The 24,821-nt window shown below is 39.4% G+C and overlaps 1 protein-coding gene across 4 annotated transcripts in view; it reads left to right on the top strand.

The window, feature by feature from the left end:
- ANK3 (ankyrin 3) overlaps nucleotides 1-24,821 on the top strand; it is a 707,231-nt gene that overhangs the window by 527,975 nt on the left and 154,435 nt on the right. For all 4 annotated transcript variants that reach the window (NM_001204403.2, NM_001204404.2, NM_001320874.2 and 1 more), the window contains 7 exons: nucleotides 2,454-2,552; nucleotides 5,327-5,425; nucleotides 7,017-7,214; nucleotides 8,929-9,027; nucleotides 9,311-9,409; nucleotides 18,642-18,839; nucleotides 24,127-24,225. In NM_001204403.2, coding sequence (NP_001191332.1) covers nucleotides 2,454-2,552; nucleotides 5,327-5,425; nucleotides 7,017-7,214; nucleotides 8,929-9,027; nucleotides 9,311-9,409; nucleotides 18,642-18,839; nucleotides 24,127-24,225 — 891 coding nt within the window. The remainder of the gene's footprint in view (nucleotides 1-2,453; nucleotides 2,553-5,326; nucleotides 5,426-7,016; nucleotides 7,215-8,928; nucleotides 9,028-9,310; nucleotides 9,410-18,641; nucleotides 18,840-24,126; nucleotides 24,226-24,821) is intronic.

Below are 24,821 nucleotides of genomic sequence, written 5' to 3'. Positions count from 1 at the left end.
CTTAAGGGGAAGGGCACCTTCACAGAAAGCATAATTTATATCAAATCCTATACTGTAGTACTTCTCTAGTGGGTGCAGTTTTGTCCCCCAAGGGGCGTTTAGTCATGTCTGGAGGTACTTTTAATTGTCACAACTGGATAGTACTACTGGTCTCTAGTGGGTCAAGGCCAAGGATGCTACTAAACAGTTTACAGTATACAGGACAGTCTCCCGCAACAAAAAGTCGTCTGATTCAAAATGTCAAATGTGCTGAGGTTGAGAAACCCTGCACAAGACGACCTTGGTGCTTTTCTCAAGTAAGGGTTACTCTGTCTTAAAACTCAAAATTAATGAAACAGCTGCTGAGGTTAGTAAAGTATTAGACCTAAGTTTCTCTCATAGGAACCAACTCAGAACTCAGAGAAATGATCCATCAGAATCAGGGCTGTGCCTTCTACAAAGCAAACCAAGCCTGACACCTACCCTTTCAGACTTGTCCCAGACCCCCAACCTCCACCTCACTACATCCTAGCACTCTGATTGATCTCTGTTAATTCTAATTCTAACCCTTGGCACTTCCATAGACTAGACACTCTCTTGTTTGCCTCCGTATGTCTCTGCCTCTGTGTGTCACACCCCCTTGGCCAGGCAAATCCTGCACGTCCTTTAGAACCAGATCTGGGCCACCTTCTTCAGGAAACCCCCGCTCACTCCCCAGCCTGGACTACATGTTCCTTCTAGGAACCATCACCTCATCGTGTGCATATTTCCATCAAAGCCCTTATCCAGCTCTCTGACTTATGACTCAGTGGCACCCCCAAGAACCCCAGAGGCTGAAGGCTCCTTGGAAGCAGGGCTGAGTCTGACTGGTCTTCATATACCCACACTGTCTGGCCCATACACAGATCATTCAGTAAAGTTTTGTTGAATGCCTGATGCTTAACTATAGGATTTGAAGCAAACATAAACATTAAAGTCTAGTCTAGTGATTGTTGCTTGGCTTCAGTTTCTTGCCTGCAAATGGAATATTTGCCTAGATTTACACTTAGAATTTTTAAAATATTAAATGGTTGACAATATGAATACTGATTTGCCATATTGTCAGGCTTATGGGTTCATATTAGGCAACCTGTTATTTTTAAGTATAAAATAGAAAGTTTACTTTCAGTGCATAGGAACCCTCTTAGAGATAAGAATAGGCTCTAAAATAAAAGTAAATTCTTGGCTGATGTTTGAGTAAATGTCCAGAGATATCAACCAGTAATCCAGCTCTCTGTTCCCTAAGAGCTTTAAAAGGCAGTTCAGACCAAGATTTTGCCTTGCACAAGCTCTAACTACTCCCCCTGCTGATGGAAAAAGGTGCCAAGACTATAACAAAATTCTCATTTTCCTAATTGTCCTCCATTCTTCTCACTTTTTGAATTCTGGACAGCCGGAATTATTCCTTTTCTGTCTTTTACCTCACTTTGATTGTATAGAATTCCTTTCATATATTTTTGACATTTCTCAAATTTCTGCTGAGATTAATTATCCCCTTCTGTCCCTTTTTTAAAAAACAGGTTAGCTTTTTCTAAACATACTAAAAAAAATGTTTTATCAAGTTATGATGTTCATGTTGTAAGCTAAATTAAACTGAAAAATTTAAAATGGAATCATTTCATATAAAAAGCACGAGTAAATTATACTCTTTAAAATATTAATGACTTGAGATTTTTATCTTTCTTATTCACTCTAAATCTCACAATCATGGACATATTCAATATAAAATATCCTGGAATCAATAAATTCTGCTTTACGCTGAAGAGTATTCTGGGGTCTATGTACATTTATGTATATGTATGTGTGCATAGGATCTGAAGCAATTCAAGTCTAGTCTAGTGACCATTGTAATATTTGCTTTATTTAGATTGCTTTAATTTATAATACCCATAAAGTTAAACAATTAAATGTTTGAAACTATTAATGCTGATTTGTTCATTTATTAAAGAAACAGCTTTGTGTTAGGTACCCTGCTCTTTTATATGTGACATAAATGGGAATCCTCTTTAAAGCCCAGAATAGGATCTGAAATAAAAGTTGACTTTTTACTAGTATGTATGAAATCACAGCTCTCCTCCTTCTACACACACACATATGGATAAGGAAGGTTTATTAGTAAAGGGGAAAACAACCTTCAAGTTATTTATCAATTTTTTCAAAGATCTACATTAAAAGTATGAAATAAATTCTTTTTCTTTTTTAATAGGTATGACATAAGTCTTTCATAGTAACAGAATTTGCTTTAGGAAAACGATGATTATATGTTTATATATTTACCATATAGAATCTGTAACATAATGGTGAATGTCCTGATGTCTTCTAATCCGATCATTAAACTGATTTAGATGGGTGGATGGATGACAGGCAGGCAGGCTCACAGACAAACCTTTTTTATGCTAAGCCAACAAACCACCATTTTCTTCTTTTCCCCTTAGTCGGGCCTTACCCCAATCCATGTTGCTGCCTTCATGGGGCATGTAAATATTGTATCACAACTAATGCATCATGGAGCCTCACCAAACACCACCAATGTGGTAAGTATTCTTTGAACAAAGGAGGTCCATTGTGAGTATTTAATAAACTGGCAAAGGTGGTTTTTATCTACTTTTTTTATTTTTTATTTTTTTAAGAGTTGGAGTATCGCTCTGTCTCCCAGACTGGAATACAGTGGTGCAATCATAGCTCACTGCAGCCTTGAATCCTGGACTCAAGTGCTCCTCCCATCTCAGCCTCCCAACTAACTGGGACTACAGGAATGTGCTATCATGCCTGGCTAATTTTTAAATGTTTTGTAGAGACGGGGGCCTCACTATTTTGCCCAGGCTGGTCTTGAACTCCTGGCTTCAAGCAATCCTCCTGCGCTGGCCTCCTAAATTGTTGGGCTTATAGGCATGAGCCACCATGCCCGGCCTTATTGTTATTATAATTAATTAATATGTAATTAATATGACTACTTAAAAGAAGAAAGTTCAAGAATACATTTGTTTCCTTTACTTCAAAGGCAAGATACACTCGGTCTCTAGTTGGCCACAAATTGTTAGGACTTACGAACTACGTTCATTAACCTTACAGGTGCATTACTACTGGATATTATGTTTTAAAAAATAAAGTGTGGCCGGGCACGGTGGCTCACGCTTGTAATCCCAGCACTTTGGGAGGCTGAGGCAGGCCGGTCACATGAGGTTGGGAGTTCGAGACCAGCCTGACCAACATGGAGAATCCCCCGTCTCTACTAAAAAATACAAAATTAGCCAGGCATGGTGGCGCATGCCTGTAATCCTAGCAACTTGGGAGGCTGAGGCAGGAGAATTGCCTGAACCTGGGAGGCGGAGGTTGCGGTGAGCTGAGATTGAGCCATTGCACTCCAGCCTGGCCAATAAGAGTGAAACTCCATCTCAAAAAAAATAATAAATAAAAAATAAAGTATGGGGGGTATTTTTCTACAACAAAAACATTAAAAAGTACCGCATGTTGGAGAGGTTGTTTAGATACTATCGTCGTTTATACAAAGAAGTGATTTTAGCAGGGCATGGTGGCTCACGCCTGTAATCCCAGCACTTTGGGAGGCCGAGATGGGTGGATCACTTAAGGACGGGAATTCAAGACCAGCCTGGCCAAAATGATGAAACCTGTCTCTACTAAAAATACGAAAAAGAATTAGCTGGGCGTGGTGGTGCATGCATGTAATTCCAACTACTCAGGAGGCTGAGGCACGAGAATCACTTGAACTTGGGAGGCAGAGGTTGCAGTAAGCCAAGATCATGCCACTGCACTCTAGACTGGGCAACAGAGTGAGACTCTGTCTCAAAAAAAAAAAAAAAAAAAAAGAAGTGATTTCAACTAACTTCAAGGTAGTCTCTCTTTAATGTGCTTCACCATGTTATAGCAAACCCATGGAATTCTGTGTTCATAGATTACTCGATGGTATTCTTTTCCCACACTAAACATTGCTCTGTAGGAACCATGAGGCTCACTTCAGAGTAGCTATCAGAGTGGTAACTTACCACCCATGATCTGCATGTGGCATTTGACATTGTTTTATAGAATTTCAAATTTGACATCATAATATTAGCACAACAGACCATAGACATAATAACACTCATTGGACTCATGAGCATTAAAGAAGTAACAATAAAACAAGCACCATCCTGGCACAGAAGGGGCAAGCTAGGAGGCCCTGCACGCTTACCCTGAGAGTGGGGCTCCCCAGTAAGAGTGCATCTTCCAGCAGCCCCAAGCAGTACAACCAAAAGATAGAAATAGGCCAGCTTCTGAGATGAAATACAGTCTTTCCTAGTACTAATTGCACAGAATGTTTTCATTCGTAAAGGGAACACTGAGTAATATACTAAATGACATCCTCAGCACCTTTCCAGTAAACACAATCCACCAGTTTCCTGTGGAATCTGTCTTCACGTGTCCTTCCATGGAAGTAGGTGGCCTATAAAGCAAAGACCAATTTATAAAGGCAGTTTAAAAGTGAGCATCACCTATGTGAGAGAATATATTTCATTTTTGTTATTTGTCCATTTCAGTGTATCTGTTTCTAATACCATTTTCATTTTTAATCAAGTAAAGAAGTAATCTGGATTAGAATCTATTTGGTGAAAAAGTAGGGGGAGGGTGGTCCAGGGCAAAGAAAATGACCCACTGGGAAAAATGCCCAAAGACTAAGATATTGATCTGTTCAGATAAAACAAGAAATGCAAACCGGCTGTTGACAAGCCAAATCCAGCCCTTGGCTATGTTTAGGTTGCCCATGTAGTGTTTTGTTTTTAATTCTGAATTTATGGTCAATATTTAAGAGTTAGAAAATTTGTATAAAATCCAGACTGCCACTTCTTTTGAAAAGTTGCATGGTGTGGCATGGTAAGGCTGGCATCTTGCACAGTGACAGCAGCGAGCTGCAGATGTGGGGGGTGTGGGGTGGGGGGTTGGCTGCCTGCTTCAGCGCAGGTGTGGGCTCTCTCAAGCACTCCACACCTGCCCAGCTGCACTCACTCACCCCCCTGCTTGGCTCCTATGAGCACTGACCTTTCCAGCCCTGAGGGAGGCCACATTGTAGGTTACTGAGCAGCACCCCTGGCACAGTGGGTGACAAGACTCCCGAGGCTTATGCCAAAGTCTTTGCCTCATGGACCAGGTTCCTGTGAAATTCTCATGCATTTGATTTCCTATCTTTTCAATAAGGAAGTGCTTAGGACTATTTTTTATTTTTGAAAAAAGTCCATCATAAGCTTTATGCCAAATAAAATACACTACTCTTCTTCAGAGCTGCAGCTAATTTACTTTGGCTCATGTTCCCCAGAGAGGAGAAACAGCACTGCACATGGCAGCTCGCTCCGGCCAAGCTGAAGTTGTGCGGTATCTGGTACAAGACGGAGCTCAGGTAGAAGCTAAAGCTAAGGTATGCGCAATACTTGACAAGTGTTTGAAATTGAGGAAAAACTGTTGGATTTTCATAAAACTTTTAAGTATATACATGCAGTCTTTCAAGAATACTTTAAAAATATTGAAAAACCTCCAATGATAAAAGTCCCTACCCAAGTAACATTGTAAAAAATCCCTTCCCTGCACATTTGTTCATTCTATTATTTAACAAAATGAAATAGGATGAGATGAGAACTTGTGCCTGAAACTGTCAGCACACGGCTAGTCCCTAACAGATTGGGGACTGAATCTAGACTTGGTCCAAAGTTCTTCACACTCCGTGGAGAAGGGCTTATGCACAAAGCTTCTAGAACAATCACAACCTAGAAGCATAACTGAGCTTTTCTGGTTGACTTATAAGTCAGCTGTCAACAGCCACAAAAGGAAAATGGGGGATTTTTTTTTTTTTCTACACAAGCTGTATGGCCACTTCAGAATTGGCCTCGTATTTCACCTGCAGGAGAAACCCACTTATCTGCTGCTATTGGGATAGATAGTTCGGTCAGGCTATCAGAATGGCAGTTCAGGTCCAGAATCATAAACCACTTAATTTCAACCTACAATATGTAAATATACATTTGCACAAGTCTGCAGTCTCTAGTTTCAAGTAAGGGGTGGCAGTAGTAGCAGTATGTGAGATTTTTCCTTGGCACCTATTCGTTTCTGCTTTCAATATTCCTCTTCTCCCTTGCAGCATCTCCCTAACTCCTCATGCTTCCTACTGGTTAGATAGCCCCTCTTACTTTGACATTGACCCTCATCCTCCTTATTCTTCCAAAATGGTGTCCTCTATTCTAGCCTCGTTTCTCTACCTTTCCTACTTAAACCATTTACCTGAACCTTATCACAATTCAGTAGAGAATTTCTATTTAGAGGACTACCACAGGGATCTTTGAGCAAATTAAGATGATTTGCGCCTCCCACTTGGGGATAAGACCCTAGGGGATCAGGACTTGGTGAGTACCTCCTGCCCTTGGGTGAATTGTAGTGAGGTGGCTCTCCAGTTTAGACAGATGCAGCCCTTGCCAGGATGCACAGCCTGGCAAGCAGAGGGCATCAGCCCCTGCTGACCCTTCAGCTGGGAGCCTTTGCACAGGTATACTGCGCAACCCCACACTGCCTTCCTCACACTCTGCTTTTGTCTATGGGAAGGCAGAACCAACAAAATAATTCATTCCATGTGAGTGCATAATAACTGGTGTGGAGGTATAATATCCCTCCCAGGTATATGAGTTTTACTAGGATACATTCTCTTATCTCCCAAAGAAGGAGCAATTAAAGTTCAAATTTGATTCTCTGTGGCAGGTGTGGGTGGGGTGTAATTTATAGACAACTGCATTTCATGGTTTTCTTATTAATGAGTCACTCTCCACAGGTATTTAATTAGCTTAGAGCTACCATCTCCTCATTTCTGAGCATTGAAGAAAAAGACAAATGAGTTTTTTTAGCATTGACTCAAAAAGTTGATTGTACCTCTTACATCAAGCAGCTAATATTCCCTGAATTTTTCATAAAGGCACCATTGTTTCCTCAGCTCATCAGCCTTACATTTCTACCTTGCTGTTTAGGATGACCAAACACCACTCCACATTTCAGCCCGACTGGGGAAAGCAGACATAGTACAACAGCTGTTGCAGCAAGGGGCATCTCCAAATGCAGCCACAACTTCTGGGTACACCCCACTTCACCTTTCCGCCCGAGAGGGGCATGAGGATGTGGCCGCGTTCCTTTTGGATCATGGAGCGTCTTTATCTATAACAACAAAGGTATGAAAGCAAATCTCAGAATCCTGCTCTGTCCCCCCAAATACATCTTCCTTACGTTTCCCCGCATAGTAACAGGTCCAGAAGCTGCACAACAGCATCTATTCTTGCGATCCCACAGTAGTCATTAATATGGCCAGCAAAGCTCTGTGGTGGGAGAGGGTAACTGGTAGTATTTTGTGGGGGGTTTTTTGCCTTAAGTTTCTTAGTATGTTATCTTCCAATGAAACCTTACTGATATCCAGAGTCAGATTTCTTGTAAATTATTTGGTGGCCTTAAATGGTAGTTTAAAAACAGAGCCACAGATTAGCAAAATGCTCAGGCCAAGCACACAAACCACATTATCACAGCTCGGTTGGTAGATGCTTTTATAATACTTGCAAAACTGGCAGTGAATTTTTCTTGGGGTTGTTTTTGTTTGTTCTTGTTCTTTTTTGTGTCATTATTGTCTTGTCTGACTTATGGTTTGATTTATTTTTATCTCAACTCTGATGCCTTAGAGTAATACCCTAACATAAACAGTTGTTCTGCATGTGCAGAATGCAAAATTTGGAGCTCATTTTTTTTGTGATACTACATAAGCCTTGCAAGTGTGATAGCAAGATGAATTGGCTTGTGGCGCATCTTCCAAAGCTAGTAACTGGTACTGCACTCTTTTATTTGGATGCAGATAAGAAAGATTAATGTGTAATCAATATAGAAGACAATTACAAATAGAAAACTATCGGGATAAATGATGACTACCTCAAATTTCATTTCTTGTGATTCTTTGGGCTCTTCAGTAGAGTTGAGATGCAAGTTCAGGAAGCTCATTTGATGTGAAACAGAATAATGGGTGATAGGGTCTTGAGTATTCAGGCATTTCACCATACCAGCTGCACATTCCTTTTAGTTTGCTGTAGTCTCATGAGGTCAAATGTGCTGATGACCCCGTAATCCCTGACTCATGATTGGGACCCCCACAACAGTGTGCTGATTGGCTGGTTGATACACAGATTCTTGTAGGAGTTGGAAGTCTGAGGGAGCCAGCCACTCAGCTATTAATATCCAAGTGTTGCATATTTGTCCATGTGTCATTATTCAGTTCACCTACAGAATAGACGTCGTCATTCTAAAACCATGTCATTATTCAGTTCACCTCTGGTGGCAAAGGTGAGAGAATTTCTCACTCCTCCTCCTGAAGACTAGAGGACACATAAGGATTGTGTATACATGGAGAAACGGGGAAAGAAGAAGAAAAGTGGCTGGTCTGGTGATGTGAGATTGTGAGAGGTTCAGACTTGCCCTGGATTTTCCCAAGCCCTCCAAACTGAGTCTGGGACCCTATAACTTATTCTTCCCACAATATGAAACTCTGAAAACAGCCCTAGAATAAGCCCCAGATCCAGCTCTCCAACTTCATCCTGGTGAGATACCTGAAGACTTCCAGAACCAATAGCATGTCATGGCTCAGTCAGCAGAAGGGAGAAAGATTAGGTATCCTGGTATGTTATGCTCACACCCTGTCAATAAGAAGGCTCTTGAACTCTTATCTGTGAGTCTTGGACTTTAAATGCAGACTTCACTGCTCATCATCAATAGAATAATTAATCAGTTCTGGAAAGCAGTGCCCTTATGTCATATCTTTTTGTTTGTTTGTTGTTTGGTTTGGGTTTTGTGTGTGTTTTCCTTATGTCATTTCTATTGTTCATTATTTTTATGTTTTTTTTTTTTCAGAAAGGATTTACTCCTCTTCATGTGGCAGCAAAATATGGAAAGCTTGAAGTCGCCAATCTCCTGCTACAGAAAAGTGCATCTCCAGATGCTGCTGGGAAGGTAAGAGGTCACCAGCCACCCTGAAGCAGGCCACTTCCACGATAACAAAATACACCCTTGCTAATATTCACTAATAGCCACTCAAATTATAACTAAATATTTAAGTCCCACTAGGATGAAGAGCACTTGGGAAATAAAAGGTAAATGCTGGGGTCCAAGTACTGTGGAAACCGGAATGTAAATATGCCCTATGTCGTATCCAATCTAATTTCATTTCCTCAATCTAAGCCTCTGGTTTTAAGACACCTTTGACACTGGTTGTTGTTTCTGCACGTGTTTTCAGAGCGGGCTAACACCACTGCATGTAGCTGCACATTACGATAATCAGAAAGTGGCCCTTCTGCTTTTGGACCAAGGAGCCTCACCTCACGCAGCCGCAAAGGTACCTATAATTCCACAGCCTAAGGAGACTGATGGGTAAGGTCTATCAGTCTCTATCTGCACATCTACTTCTGCTTCAGCAGGAGCACCCTCCTAGTTTAGGCACCACTAAAAAATCACAGAAATAGAAGCACCTTAGGACATCTGTGCCTTCAGTGATTTAGTCTGCTAATATGGTAGATACTCAGGAAATATTTACTTGTCAGTTGATTGTCTTTGGCAATCCAGGACCTCCTGGAGGAAGGAGAGCTGGAACACTCTTTAGCCAGATGAAAAACATAAGCACAGCCTGAGGAAGTAAGAAAGTTCTGATTTGTCAGAATTATGAAACATGTGTTACATTTTTCTGGCCACATAATTGCCTTCAAGTTGTTTATTTGCATTTAGTAAAATAGGTTGAGAGGTTTTACATGTGTGTTTTTATTATTGCTAAGGAGGATCTTTATTGTTAGGGCCTTTTTGATCAGTAGACAACTTAGATTTCTGAGAAAAGAGAAACTGAGTGGGTATATAGCTATATTATTATTTTAGTAATCTAATTTGAGGGACAAATCATAAAGAAGAGCTTCCTTAAAGACAGGTTAATAGAGTGCTATTGGTTTAATAAGCTTCCTATTGTTGAGCAGGTGGCTATGATCAGAGAACACTGAAATGATGCAAACCATTTCAGTGTTGTTCAGTTATTTCGCTAAACACTATTGGTTGGAGGACCATTGAGTATCCCTTATGATCCTTCTCCTTTTTTTTTTTTTTTTTTGGAGGGAGACGGAGACTAGCTCTGTCTCCCAGGCTGGAGTGCAGTGGCGCAATCTCGGCTCTCTGCAAGCTCCGCCTCCGGGGTTCACGCCATTCTCCTGCCTCAGCCTCCCGAGTAGCTGGGACTACAGGCACCTGCCACCACACCTGGCCAATTTTTTGTATTTTTGGTAGAGACCGGGTTTCACCGTAGCCAGGATGGTCTCGATCTCCTGACCTTGTGATCCACCCACCTTGGCCTCCCAAAGTGCTGGAATTACAGGCGTGACACACCGCGCCCGGCCTCCCTTATGCTTTTTACATCTTTGATTTGCTAATCCATGTTGGGGCAGCTGCAGTGCTCTCCTTTAAACCTAATGTTTAGATCACATCATTGTATACACAGATGAATGAACTGGGGTTCTAGATTACTTTAGATACCCTAAGAGATCAAGTTTTAGGTACTCTCTCCATTTAGAGAGTATGTTATCTTCGACAGATATTTCTTCCTGGAAACTTTCGATCATTTTCTGCCCCATCCTCTCCAGAATTATACCCAGTGAAATCTAAAATTCAAAATCAAACTCCCAAACTTGCTTTTAATCTAAATGTAGCTTTCCCCTCCACAGTTTCTGACCCTGACAAACATTCTTTCTATTACAAAACCACAATGTGACTTGATAAAACTTTAATTTAAAAAAAGACAGCAGCATTATTCATGACAGCCAAAAGGTGGAAACAATGCAAATATTCATTGATGGATGAATGCATATACTCACTGTGCATATACACACAAAGGAATATTATTTAGTCTTTAAAAGGAAGGAAATTCTGACATACTCTACTATAATACATGGAGGAATCTTGAAGACATTGTGCTAAGTAAGCCAGCCACAAAAGGACAAATGTATGATTCTACTTATATGATGTATATAGAGTAGTCAAATTTATAGAGACAGACAGAGGATGGTGGATGTCAAGGGTAGAGGGAGAAGGGAATGGGGAGTTAATGTTTAATGGATATAGAGTCTCAATTAGGAAGACTAAAAAGTTCTGCAGATGGATAATAGTGATGGTTGGAGAACAATGTGAATACACAGTAGTTAATACTACTGACCTGTACACTGGAAAATACTTTAAATGGGAAATTTTGTTATGTGTATTTTAGCATAATTTTAAGGAGAAAAATTTGTAAGGAATTTAATGGTTGTACATTTTATTTCATTTCATTTTTACCTCTGTGCTTTTGGGCTACTTTTCTTTTTCTCTTTCTTTTTCTTTCTTTTTTTTGAGACGGAGTCTCGCTCTGTCACCCAGGCTGGAGTGCAGTGGCACGATCTTGGCTCACTGCAACCTCTGCCTCCTGGGTTCAAGCGATTCTCCTGCCTCAGCCTCCCAAGTAGCTGGGATTACAGGTGTGTGCCACCACACCCAGCTAATTTTTGTATTTTCAGTAGAGACAGGGTTTCACTGTGTTGGCCAGGTTAGTCTCAAACTCGCAACCTCAAGTGATCCTCCTACCTTGGCCTCCCAAAGTACTGGGATTACAGGGGTGAGCTACCTTGCCCAGCCCCTACTTTTCTTATGTATAAATAACCCCAAGTCCTTCATAGATAACAAGTAAATAATTAGTAAGTGAACTATTTTTTCCTTGGATGAGAATAAAAATTTTGGCACAAAAAGCAGTGTAAAATTGACCAAAGTTATAAAGCAGTAAGTGCAGCAAATGACTCCAATCTCTCTTTCTACTCACAAATAATTTTTTTTTTTTTTTGTCACCCAGACTGGAGTGTAGTGGCACGATCTTGGCTCACTGCAACCTCCGCCTCCCAGGTTGAAGCAATTCTCCTGCCTCAGCCTCCCAAATAGATGAGACTACAGGCATGTACCACCTACCCAGCTAATTTTTGTATTTTTAGTAGAGATGGGGTTTCTTCATGTTGGCCAGCTGGTCTTGAACTCCTGACCTCAAGTGATCTGCCCTCCTTGGCCTCCCAAAATGCTGGGATTACAGGCATGAGCTACTGTGCTAGGCGCACAAATAACTCTTAAACAGGGCAATAGTTGGTACATTCCTAGTTGATTTCTCCTTTACATTTGTCAAACAAGACTTAGTATTCATAGTTCTCTATCTGCAAAACATCCTTTACAAAGATTTGAAAAGAAAAGCAATCCTTTAAATAATTCTTTATAACATTCCATTAGCCTCAGGCATATTTTTATAGTCAATTAAACACAGGCTTTTCTAATGGGACATTGATTCTCATTTCCATACACAATTGCCTCCATAAGAGCCTGGGTAATGCCATCTCTGGCACATGTCCAATAATCCCTGTCTTCAGGGCAGTGGTACTGGTCAGGAACTTTTTCTAGACTTTAATCTTAAGCAAAGCCAGTCATATAATTTTAGGTATTGGCTTTATCTGCTAGGAAAAAAAAAAAAAAGTCCTAGCTACAATGGTTTAAATTGATGAGCCTCCATTTTCTCATGGCACAAACAGGAGGTAGACAGGGCAGTTGTTGATGTTGATATAGGGTGTTGAGGCAAGTTCCCTGTGACTTTTTAAAAAATCAATTTGGGGGTACAAGTGCAGTTGTGTTACATGGATATGTCGCTTAGTGCTGAATACAGGGCTTTTAGTGAAACCATCACCCAAAATGTGTACATTGTACCCATTAGAGAATTCCTTGTCCCTCACCCCACTCCTACCGTCCCACCTTTCCAAGTCTCCAATGTCTATTATTCCACTCTTTATGTCCATGTGCACACATTTAGCTCTCGCTTTCAGGCAAGAACATGCAGTATTTGACTTTCTCAGTTATTTTACTGAAGATAATGGCCTCCAGTTTCATCTGTGTTGCTGCAAAAGACATAATTTTATTCTTTTTTATAGCTGAGTAGTATTCCATGGGGTGTGTGTGTGTATTTATGTGTGTTGGTATATATGTATACACGCACATAAATTGTATATATTATAATTATATATAATTATATACAACTTATTTCCAGCTTTATATTTGTCAAACAAGACTTTATAGCTGAGTAATAGTCCACTCAGCTATAAACATATAGTATATACATATATATATATACACACATACACACATGGTATGCAATATGTGCATACCATGGAATACTACTATATGTATGTATATATATCTGTATACACACACACGCGCACCATGGGATACTACTCAGCTATAAAAACAAATAAAATAGGCCGGGTGCGGTGGCTCACGCCTGTAATCCCACTACTTTGGAAGACTGAGACGGGTGGATCACGAGGTCAGGAGATGGAGACCATCCTGGCCAACATGGTGAAACCCCTTCTCTACTAAAAATACAAAAATTAGCTGGGCATGGTGGCCAGCTACTCAGGAGGCTGAGGCAGGAGAATCACTGAAACCCGGGAGGCAGAGGATGCAGTGAGCCAAGACCGCGCCACTGCACTCCAGCCTGGGTGACAGAGCAAGACTCGGTCTCAAAAAAATAATAAAAAAGAATAAAATGTATATATCCCACATATTCACATATTCTTTATCTAATCATCCATTGGTAGACACAAAGGTTGATTTTACAGGACTTTGCTATTGTGAATGGTGCTGCAATGAACATACGAGTGCAAGTATCTTTTTTGATATAATGATTTATTTCCTTTGGGAAATACCTAACCAGCGGTATCTAACCAGTGGTAGGATTGCTGGGTCAAAGGTAGTTCTATTTTTAGTTCTTTGAGATATCTCCTTACAATTGTCCTTAAAGGTTATATTAATTTACGTTCCTACTAACAGTGTATAAGCATTTCCTTTTCTCTGCATCCTCACCAGCATCTATTATTTTTGACTTCTCATAGTAGCCATTTGGATTGGTGTGAGATGGTATCTAATTGTGGTTTTGATTTGCATTTCTCTGATGATTAGTGATGACGATCATTTTTTCATATGCTTCTTGGCCATTTGTGGGTCTTCTTTCACAAAATGTCTGTTCGTGTCCTTTGCCTTCTTTTTAATGGATTTTTTTTTTTCTTGTTGAGTTGAGTTCCTCATAAATCCTGGATATTAGTTCTTTGTCAGATGCATAGTTGTGAATATTTTCTCCCATTCTATATGGTACCTGGTTCACTCTGTTGATTATCTCTTTTGCTATGCAGAAGCTTTTTAGTTTACTTAAGTCCCATTTGTCTATTTTTTGACTTGCTGCATTTGATTTTGAGGTCTTAGTCGTGAATTTTTTCCCTAGTTCAATGCCCAAAAGAGTTTTTCTTATGGTTTCTTCTAGAGTTCATATGATTTCAGGTATTACATTTAAGTCTTTAATCTATCTTGAGTTAATTTTTGTATATGGTGAGAGTTATGGGTCCAGTTTCATTCTCCTTCATCTGGCTATCAAATTTTCCTAGCACCATTTATTGAATAGGATGTCCTTTTCTCTGTGTTTGTTTTTGTTAACTTTGTCAAAGATTAGTTGGCTGGAGGAATGTGGCTTTTCTTGTGAGTTTTCTGTTCTGTTCCACTGATATATGCATATATTTCTATACCAGTGCCATGCTGTTTTGGTTACTATAGCCTTGTAGTATAATTTAAAGTTAGGTGATATGATGCCTCCAACTTTGTTCTTTTTGCTTAGGATTGCTTTAGCTATTTGGGCTCCCTTTTGGTTCCGTATGAATTTTAGGATTGCTTTTTCTAATTCTGTGAAAAATGAGGTTGATATTTTAACAGGAATTGCAGTGAATCTTTGGCTTTTCCCTCCAAAGACTGTTGACTGGGTTGCCAAATTTACTTTCAAGCCACAGGCAGCAAGAAAGTCAGCACAACAAGGCTTTCCCAGAAGTTCCACCAAACCACATCTCCTTACACCCCACTGGCCACTTCTATGTGCAAAAAAAGGTTGAGAAATAGTGCTAAGCACACTACCAGAGAAGTTTGTCTGTTTTGTTTTGCTTTTATTTTTTGTATTTTGGTTTGGGGGTTTGTTTGTTTGTTTGTTTTCACTAAGAAAGAAAGGAGAATAAATACAGAGTAGGCAATCTGCCTTCTTTACTCCAGGGAAGCTCAGGCATTCCTGAATTCCGGCAGTGGTGAGAGATAAGGTACAGAGCCTCAATAGGGCATGATTACCACATGGATGTGACAGCAGCAACCTCAATGTTAACTCATCATCAGATCACATCCTTTGTCCTTTTTCTTAGAGCATGTGATGCCTTCTCCTTACCCTTTCTTCTCCTTTCTTCTCTTTTTTAAAATTGCCAATGTATTGTCTTACTCATACATGTCCTAGAAATGTGATGAGGTTTCAGGAAATTGGGGTACTGAAAAGTAGATGGGCAGCTCTAATCTATTTTAGTCCAATCTATTTCCTGTGGCAGGACCTTATGCTGGCAAGAGGATTGGCTTGAGTTCAGGCATAACCTGGATACTAATTGTAGAAGAGATAGTGAGCTTTAAGTATTATTTATCAGGTTTCTCTTCCATAAAATGTGCAACATATCTATTGATATGGATCAGTATATTTGTGAAAGTTCTTGAAAAAAATTAAAATATGATTTAAATGCTATATATTACTTTTGATAATTTCAAATTGCATTTGCTTTTATTTTAATTTTGAAATGCAAAAGCACATGTGGCAAGCACTTGGTCCTCTACATCAAGAGGGAAAAAACCCTGTAGGTCAGAATTATTCTACAGTTGAATCACTCCCTGTTGAATTTTTCTTTTGATAGATGCATCTGCCTTTCTTAGTATGGCAAGTGAGAATCATTTTTACTTTTCACAAAGTAGAAACAACTTAGAAAATTTAGAAAATTCATTATAAGCCTCAAGATAAATGTGCTTATTATTTGAAGATATTTCTTAAGTCTTTCTGAGATTAACTTTTCATACTAAAATAATACCTGAGTCACTTTTCCCTTGCTTTATACTTTCCTTTGTATCTCAGGTAAGGAGCTCAAGATAAATCCTTGAGCAATAATAGTAATTTGTCTGTAATTGGCATATATTACAGAGCTGAGTCTGTCTCTGTCTGTCTCTCTCTCTGTCTCTGTCTCTCCCTGTATCTGTCTCTCTGTCTCTCTCAGAGTTTTAAAGACAGGCTCTCCCTATGTTGCCCAGGGTGGTCTCGAGCTCCTGAGCTCAAGTGATCCTCCTGGCTCAGCCTCTAAAGTAGCTGAGACTACAGGCATGCACCGCCATGCCTGACTGCCACAGCTCTCTTGATTAAAACATTTTTTTAGGACATAGGATTCTTTTTGGTGGCATTAGAAGTAAGTAAGATTTTCATGTGTGAGCTGCCTTACCTTGTTAGGGGGTTGAGAAGTGACTAACCTGAATATTATATCAATAGCAAAAGCAAAAAGAGAAGATGCATGATAAGAAGCTAAATTCTGAGTTTATCTTGCCTTTACCACTCGAAGTAGTTAGGTTAGTGTTAGACACATTGACTAATTATATTTCCTATTTTAGTGCTGCTTTGTGAATTTTCTCTTTTATGCTGGTCACTTATTGTAGCATTGGGCTCAGACCAAAGCTCTGCATTTGGCTCTGCGGGCATCAGTCTCTGAAGGGTGTGTCCCAGCAGAGGGCCAAATGCTTCTCAGGGCAGCTGGGGTTTTCAGATGGCAATAGGTCAAAATTAAAAATAGGGATATAAAATCTTCTTTTACCCTGGCTCATCCAGTTTGGCAGAGGCTAGTTTCAGAAGAGTCTAGAAGTGACATTTCCACTTTCATGGGTTGATATAAGGGTTTGTCAAGTGAGGAATGCTGTTGGACTTGGACATGCCAGTGACTTAAATGTGAGGTTCATTGCAGCAGGATGGCTGAGTACTGGGTGCAGCAGCCCCTCAAAACCCTCTGTGTTGTTTGTGATCCTTCCACATGGCTCAAAAAGATTGTGACTGATCCATTGTCAAGATTTGGATCATACTTCCAAATATAAATTCTTAGATTCTATTTTCTTTTTCTAAATCTTCCTGTCTATGGAAAAAAATCATTCTGATTTGTCATTAGCATATTTTACATACTCAGGTTTATGTCCATGTCAAAGTGTAATCTTACACTTCTTGTAAGTGACTGTGAACCAGGGCAACATCCCCCAAAACTCTTTCTTGGGGCAGAAGACCCTGATGGCTCCTGAGGCACAGCTGACTAACAGTTTATCAAGGGAATCTTGATTGTCTCTCTCTGGGTATCAGGGGTCAGCCAAGAAAAGGATGCCAGAATATGCTGAAAGCTCTAGTACTCTTGATTCAAAACCTGAGGATTCCTTTCTTCATGTAATTAATACATGGCAGTTATTGTGAGGCACTAGAGAGATACAAAGACAAATATAACACAATATACGCCCTTAAGAAATGTATATTTAGTAGGAGGGGACAGATAAATAAACAAAAGAGTGCCACTAAATATCCCCAGGACTTTGATAAGAGTCAGTCAGGGTTGGGGGTAGGGGTTGAGGCTTGAGGGATGGGAAGAAATAAAAAACCTCATGGAGGGTGTGACCCTTGAGCTGAATTTTCAGCTGACAGATGCTGGCTGCTGGGCATGTTGGGGAAAAGCATTCTTGTAGAGTAAGGCAAGACAGAGAAACATGAGACTATATTCTGTTTGGGGGACATGCAGGATGACAGACCAGCATGAAGACAGGTTTTGTAAAAGAGGAAATCAAAAGGCCAAATGAGGAGAGATGGTAGTGTCTTAACTTCCATGAACATTAAAAATTTCAACTTGTAAGCAGTAGATGGCAATTAAAGGTATTTTTTTAAATAAAAGAATGAATGGCTCTGAACATGCCCTAGTGATAACTGATTGTTTGTTGCTTCTTCCTCCTGTCCTCAATTTAAATAAAGCAAGTAATTATCGAGCATGTTGTAACATAATTTCCTGTAAAAGGGAAATTTATATTCCTTTTGGAAAACCAATAATGCTCTAACTCTTTTTGATTAAAATGTCCATATTAAGCCGGGCGCAGTGACTCACGCCTGTAATCCCAACACTTTGGGAGGCCGAGGCAGGTGGATCACGAGGTCAGGAGATGGAGACCATCCTGGCTAACACCGTGAAACCCCGTCTCTACTAAAAATACAAAAAATTAGCCGGGCATGGTGGCAGGCGCCTGTAGTCCCAGCTACTCGGGAGGCTGAGGCAGGAGAATGGCGTGAACCCGGGAGATGGAGCTTGCAGTGAGCCGAGATCCAGCCACTGCACTCCAGCCTGGGCGAAGAGTGAGACTCTGTCTCAAAAAATAAAATAAAATAAAATAAAATAAAATAAAATAAATAAAATGTCCATATTAAATTATGTTTTCCCTACTTAGGAATGCAGGATACATGAGGGCACTATATTCATGTACCACTTGGTTTACCAGTATTTGCTTACTTAATCATGATTTCTTAAGCAATCATAGAAAACCACTAGAAAGAGACATAAACTATTTGAAAATGCACTGTGCACATTTTTATCTTGTTCCTGGGCATGTGACCAAGTGATTTGTGTTGACAGAATGGTTATACGCCACTGCACATCGCTGCCAAAAAGAACCAGATGGACATAGCGACAACTCTGCTGGAATATGGTGCTGATGCCAACGCAGTTACCCGGCAAGGAATTGCTTCCGTCCATCTCGCAGCTCAGGAAGGGCACGTGGACATGGTGTCGCTGCTCCTCGGTAGAAATGCGAATGTGAACCTGAGCAATAAGGTAACCCACTTCTTTCTTGACAAAGCATGCAGCACACCAAAACCTCACCCCTCAGAAAGGTCACTAAGAATTCACAGAAGATCTGAGTCAAATAGGATGTGTAAAGTGTAATATTGCACCAAGTTGTTTACCAAAGTGTTACTTAACAGAGCAAAAATTTGGAAACAATCTGTTTAAACAATAAGAAAAATGGTCAATGCGCCAGTTGCTCTGGCTCAGGCATTTAATCCTAGCACTTTGGGAAGACAAGGCGGGTAGACTGCTCGAGCCCAGAAGATGGAGGCTGCAGTGAGCTCTGATTGCTTCTTTATACTCCAGCCTGGGTGACAGAGTGAGACCCTGTCTCTTTAAAAAAAAAAAAAAAAAAGACAGAAAGATAATGGTAAATAAATAATTCAGATAATTCAGTCAGACAATGAGTATATATGGAAGTGGCTCTATGTACACATAGCCATAAAAATGAAGTCCAGGAAGTTTTTGTAGTAACATAAAGTTTTGTTATAATGTTAATTCAAAGAGCACCATTGTTACTTCACCATAACATAGCAAAGAAGAAGCTGCAAATTGTAGCCCTTTGCTTTATTTCACAAACATGTTTGGGGTCCTGCTCCTTGCTCATCCGTTTTTAAGTTCTAGGTTACAAAGAGAAATGGGAAACATTGCTGCCTTCGTGAGTTCATTTTAATAACAAATTTAGAGTAGCTATTTTATGGAGTAGATAGGAGAAGTTGTTGGCAATTTTGAAGGAACTTGTGAAGACTGTTCCCTAAACTCTTCAAACACCCATGCTGTCATCTTTGATATGCTCATTATTCATGAAGAAAAGACTAGAGTTTTGTCAAGCAAAGTGAAAGTTCAGCCGACAATTAACCAGAAACTTGTTAATGAAGTTACTGCCTCTCCCTGTATGTATCAAATTTAGGTTTGCTGAATTGCTCATTAAGATTGACCCAAAACACAAGACAGGTGTTTCTAAATCTTCAGATAATAGGAAACCACACAAAAGGGCCCTCAGATTCTGATAACCTCCCCTGTCTGGCATTTAGCTTCTCTTCTGCCTGCTGGGTGTGGGCATAGCTGTGATATTTCTCAGGCCTAGCTCAGATATTGGAGTAGGGTTGCAAAATAGCAATAGTCTTATGTTGACAAATAACAAGTAATTTAAATACTTTCAACACGTGTGCCTGTGTTTTGAAATCACAGAGAGTTTGAATCCTAAGTTGGATTCTTCCTGTGTCATTTAGGCAAGTTATATTACCTCTCTGAGCCTCAGTTTTGTCCTTTAGTACATGGAGATAGCAATACTGACTTCTTGAGTTGCTTTGAGGATACACTGAGAAAACATTCAACACTTTTAAGTAAGAAAAAATCGTTTTTTTAATTTTGGAGTTTTTACAGTTTTGGAAAAAGGTTACTCCATAACAATCTGAATTCTCAAGGTTATTATTTAACAAATTCTATAGACCAAAAGACATATACAGGAGACCAGGGATATCTTTTTTTAGTTTTAGTATTGTGAAAATCTTTTTTGGTCATTACAGAGCAAACACATTTTTTTAATTTTATTTTTTTCTTGTTAAACATTCCTTTTAGGAGTGCATGTCTCAGCATTAATGGGAATCAAAAAGCAATTTCATAATCGTCATTATAGTTAAGATTTGTTTGATCTTTTGAATTTTCTATAGTTTTATATACCAATTTAGAGACCAGAATTGTAATGGCTTGCCTCAAAACTCAATTTGTCTTTATGACAAAGAGGACCTTGTGTTTCCCAAATTGAAGCACATGCTGGTATCAGAGTGTATTTTCTCTTGTGAGCCCATAATATTGTATTTCATCATTTCTTCCAGAAACAATGTAGTACTTTCACAATTGGTTTAAATTGAATATTTCCAGTAGGTTTGATACCAAACTGCAGTGTGACTGACTTTGTTTCTTCAAAATCCTGCAGCCAACTGGTACAATATATGCCCAGCCTTGAATTCATCTTAGCCTCATAGGGTGATTTTAGGCTAAAAATATTTAGGGCAAAAATTTTCTCAGTGCTTGTTTTAGTAGAGTGGAAATTAACAAAAGGAATTCTAAAGACTCAAAGACATATAGCAAACCAGGGAAACCTGGAAATTTCTGGCCACTTTCCTGAGTAAATGATACACAAGCAGAGATATTCCTAAAGGAATTCTAAAAGATCAACTGGCTTTCCATTAGCATGTTGAACTTAAGGAACTTCTGAGAACTTCTAATACTTTTAACTTCTAACTTCTCATTAGAAACTATCTAATAAGAAGGCATTTGTAAATCCTTGCATCCTTTCTCCGTTGTCGTTTTCAGTATAAAGCACTAAATATGCCCTGATGTGAAAACAGAAAAGCAGCAAAACTTTTTATTATTCAATAAGGAACTGTCTCTCAGTTTTTGTCAGTTTTTCCTGAGCTGCCAGTGTTTTAAGCATCAATTACTCACTGTTCCCTCCTCCCTTCTCCTGCCTACCTTTCCCTCTTCTCACATAACACTACATTTTATTTCCTTGCTAAAAAATAACTATTAAAAAAGATTTAGCTTTCATAATTTATGTTGAACTAAACACTTTATTGTTTTTACTTTCTTTTTTCTTACTAGTAACCAGCACTTTCCCAGTACTTTTAAGGAAAAATGATCATGAACCCCAAGTTATTGTTGAGGTGCTAGTGTTCGATTTGATTCAATTTTGCTTTTGATGTTCCTATTTTCCCATATAGGTTTTGCAGACCCCAATGCTTATATTTTTTATACAACTGAAAGAATATTAAACAGAGATGTTGCTATTTTAATTTGATGTTTTCTCTGTTTCAAATAAATACCTTTTTTTTTTTTTTTGAGACAGAATTTCATTCTTGTTGCCCAGGCTGGAGTGCAATGATGCAATCTTGGCTCACTGCAACCTCCGCCTCCAGGGTGTAAGCGATTCTTCTGCCTCAGCCTCCCGAGTAGCTGGGATTACAGGCATGCACCACCACTCCCGGCTAATTTTGTATTTTTAGTAGAGACAGGGTTTCTCCATGTAGGTCAGGCTGGTCTCAAACTCCCAACCTCAGGGGATCCGTCCGCCTTGGCCTCCCAAAGTGCTGGGATTATAGACGTGAGCCACTGTGCCCGGCCCTAAGTGCTATTTTTAAAATGAGCAATGATCAAAATGCCATAAAAGATTAACAGGTAACTTCTGAACTCAAACAGGGCTGTGGTTACCTTCATATTGTTTTTTAAAATCTTTTGAATTATAACCAAGAATATAAAAATAAAATGTTATTTATATAATTTATACTGTTCTACCTAAGAAAAATGTTTGATTTTTTTTCTCTGATTTAATCTATGAGTGAGTGGATTAAATGCTAGATGCTAGACACTGGTTATATAAAAATCAAAGATACGATACTTGCCTCAACAAGCTCACAGTGGTTTGAGGAAGACAAGCAAGAAAACAGAGTTTAAATGCAGGATTATGATATTTGTAATAGAAGTGAGCACATAGTAGGTTTGCACATAAATGTAATAACTTGGCCCTTTATTGAAACGAGAAGAGAGAAAGGCCAGGGAAGCCTGAAGTGACTCCATCAGTGAGTGGGTAAGCCAGCTGAGCAGCAGGCACCTAGACATGGGAGCATGAGGGGACAACATGTGCCCACAACACATTCTCAGTCTTTGCTGAGAGCTACTCAGTAAGGTACCCTCAGTGTCAAAAGTTTCAAACTTAGAATAGGTGACCATGACACTCACAAAATGTTGTGGCTGACAATATTATTTCCTCTGAAGGAGAACACGGAACATGGTTCTGTGATGAGGTCAGTGTTTGGGTGGTGCCAATTTTGGCTCTGGCTTATTTTTCTTGAATTTCAAGTGAATGCATCAGTCCTCCTTTTCACATTTCCCCCTTTATTCAGTTCAAGTGAGCTTCCTCCAAAATTCTATAAACATTATTAAAAAGTCCCAGCTTGACTCTCTCTGCATTCCATAATTGCTCTGATGGAATAGCAACCCCTGAATAAATAATGTTTCACATCTAGAAGACTCTGTGCTCTTCCTGAAACTGCCTTTGATTACCTCCTTTCCTCTGACAAATAGGACAGGCTGATATTTTCATTGCACAGATGCTAGAGGGGGAGAAAAGACTTCCAGGATTAAGATATTAACTTCTGTGCTCATAATGGATGAAAGCAAAAAATCTGAAAGTACTAACACCAACTCACTTTCTCTTAAATATTATAAAAAATGCTTTACAATTTAAAGAGGTTTTTTAAAACCGGAGTATAATCTTAGTAATTTTTTTTCTTGGTCATGAGAGCAACCATGTGTTCTGCAAATTCTCTAATAGGGTTAGTTTCAAATACTGTATCAGTCTTGTTAAATCCATACATCATCTAAATGACCTGGAAATTGTCATGATCTTGCATTCACATTACATTTCACAGGCGATCTTTCCTACCCAGAGTGACATACAGAAAATATTCATTAGACCTTGGGAATTAATATGGAGAAAATATTATCAGCATATGTCAGTGTTCACTTTGTAAACAGATATCATTTAAATAATTTTTGGTAAAGCTAGTGGCATTGGCAATATGTTAAAACTCTTGCATAATTTTGTAAAAAAAAAAAAAAGTCTAATTTTTGTAGATGAACACTGAAATGTATGGGGGTAAATGTTATAGTGTCTAGATTTGTGTTAATATTGCCACAAATGAATGAAAAGGAAAAGAGGGATAGGTGAAACACATATAGGAAAACTTTGATAATTGCTAAGTCTGTGATGAGTATACAAGGCTCACTCCATTTCTTACACTTTCGAGTATGCCTACAATTTTTCATGCAGCCTACAGATAGTCATGTTGCCACAGTGCTAAGACAGTATAACATATAATTTTTTTTTTTGAGACAGGTTTCATTCAACCCTGTCACCAAGGCTGGAGTGCAATGGCGCTATCTCAACTCACTGCAACCTCCACCTACCGAGCTCAAACAATTCTCCTGCCTTAGCCTCCCAAGTAGCTGGGACTACAGGTGCATGCCACTGCACCTGGCTAATTTTTGTAGAGATGGGACCTTGCCATGTTGGCCAGGCTGGTCTCAAACTCATGGGCTCATGTGATCCACCTGCCTCAGCCTCCCAAGCATATAAATTTATTCCATAGGTTTTTTCTAACATAGAAATTCTCGGCTTACCATCTTAGAATTCACAAATGGTTTCTCAAACATGGCTATGTGTGTGACATTCCTTCCTGTACGATGACTGTGCCCTTTGAATCTTTTGCAGAGCGGCCTGACCCCACTCCATTTGGCTGCTCAAGAAGATCGAGTGAATGTGGCAGAAGTCCTCGTAAACCAAGGGGCTCATGTGGACGCCCAGACAAAGGTATACGGCCCTCCCTTGCCACACGGAAAAGAATGTGTCCATTTGGTGACTGCAGTAAGGAAGAAACTATAATTGTATCAGGAGAACAAACCCTTTAATCATCTCTTTTCTACGTAGTATTTTAAATGTTTATTTATGCAAGGGACACTAAAGTCTCCGGTTGCCGTATTCCAGGGACTTTTGTCTTTAACGGCCTGGGTACTTGATTCTAGCTGCACAGTAATTTCCCCCTATATTAACACTGTTGAGCCTCCTTACAACAAATGTGTCCTTCGGGGCAGAGTGTGAAAGCTTGTACCTTTCTTAGTTTTTGTGATGGATGTTTTAAATGCAGACAAATAGACAAATAGAAAAACTTGTAATTTGTGACCTCTACGTTCGTTCAGCATGATTTATGAAACAGGATAAATTAAGGCTTATTTAAATATTACTCACTTGCTAAATTCCTAATGGTCTGTGCGGTCATGCGTGTGTTCTCCCTCTCTCAGACGAGAAAGCTCTCATTTCAAAAAGAAAAAAAAATTGCTAATTAATCTTATATAATGCCACAACTCAAACACACACACAAAATAGGACTTCTCATGTCATCATCAAAG

This window comes from Homo sapiens, chromosome 10, assembly GCF_000001405.40.
Source record: "Homo sapiens chromosome 10, GRCh38.p14 Primary Assembly".
NCBI lineage: Eukaryota > Metazoa > Chordata > Mammalia > Primates > Hominidae > Homo > Homo sapiens.
This window is presented reverse-complemented; position numbering and strand designations above follow the sequence as displayed.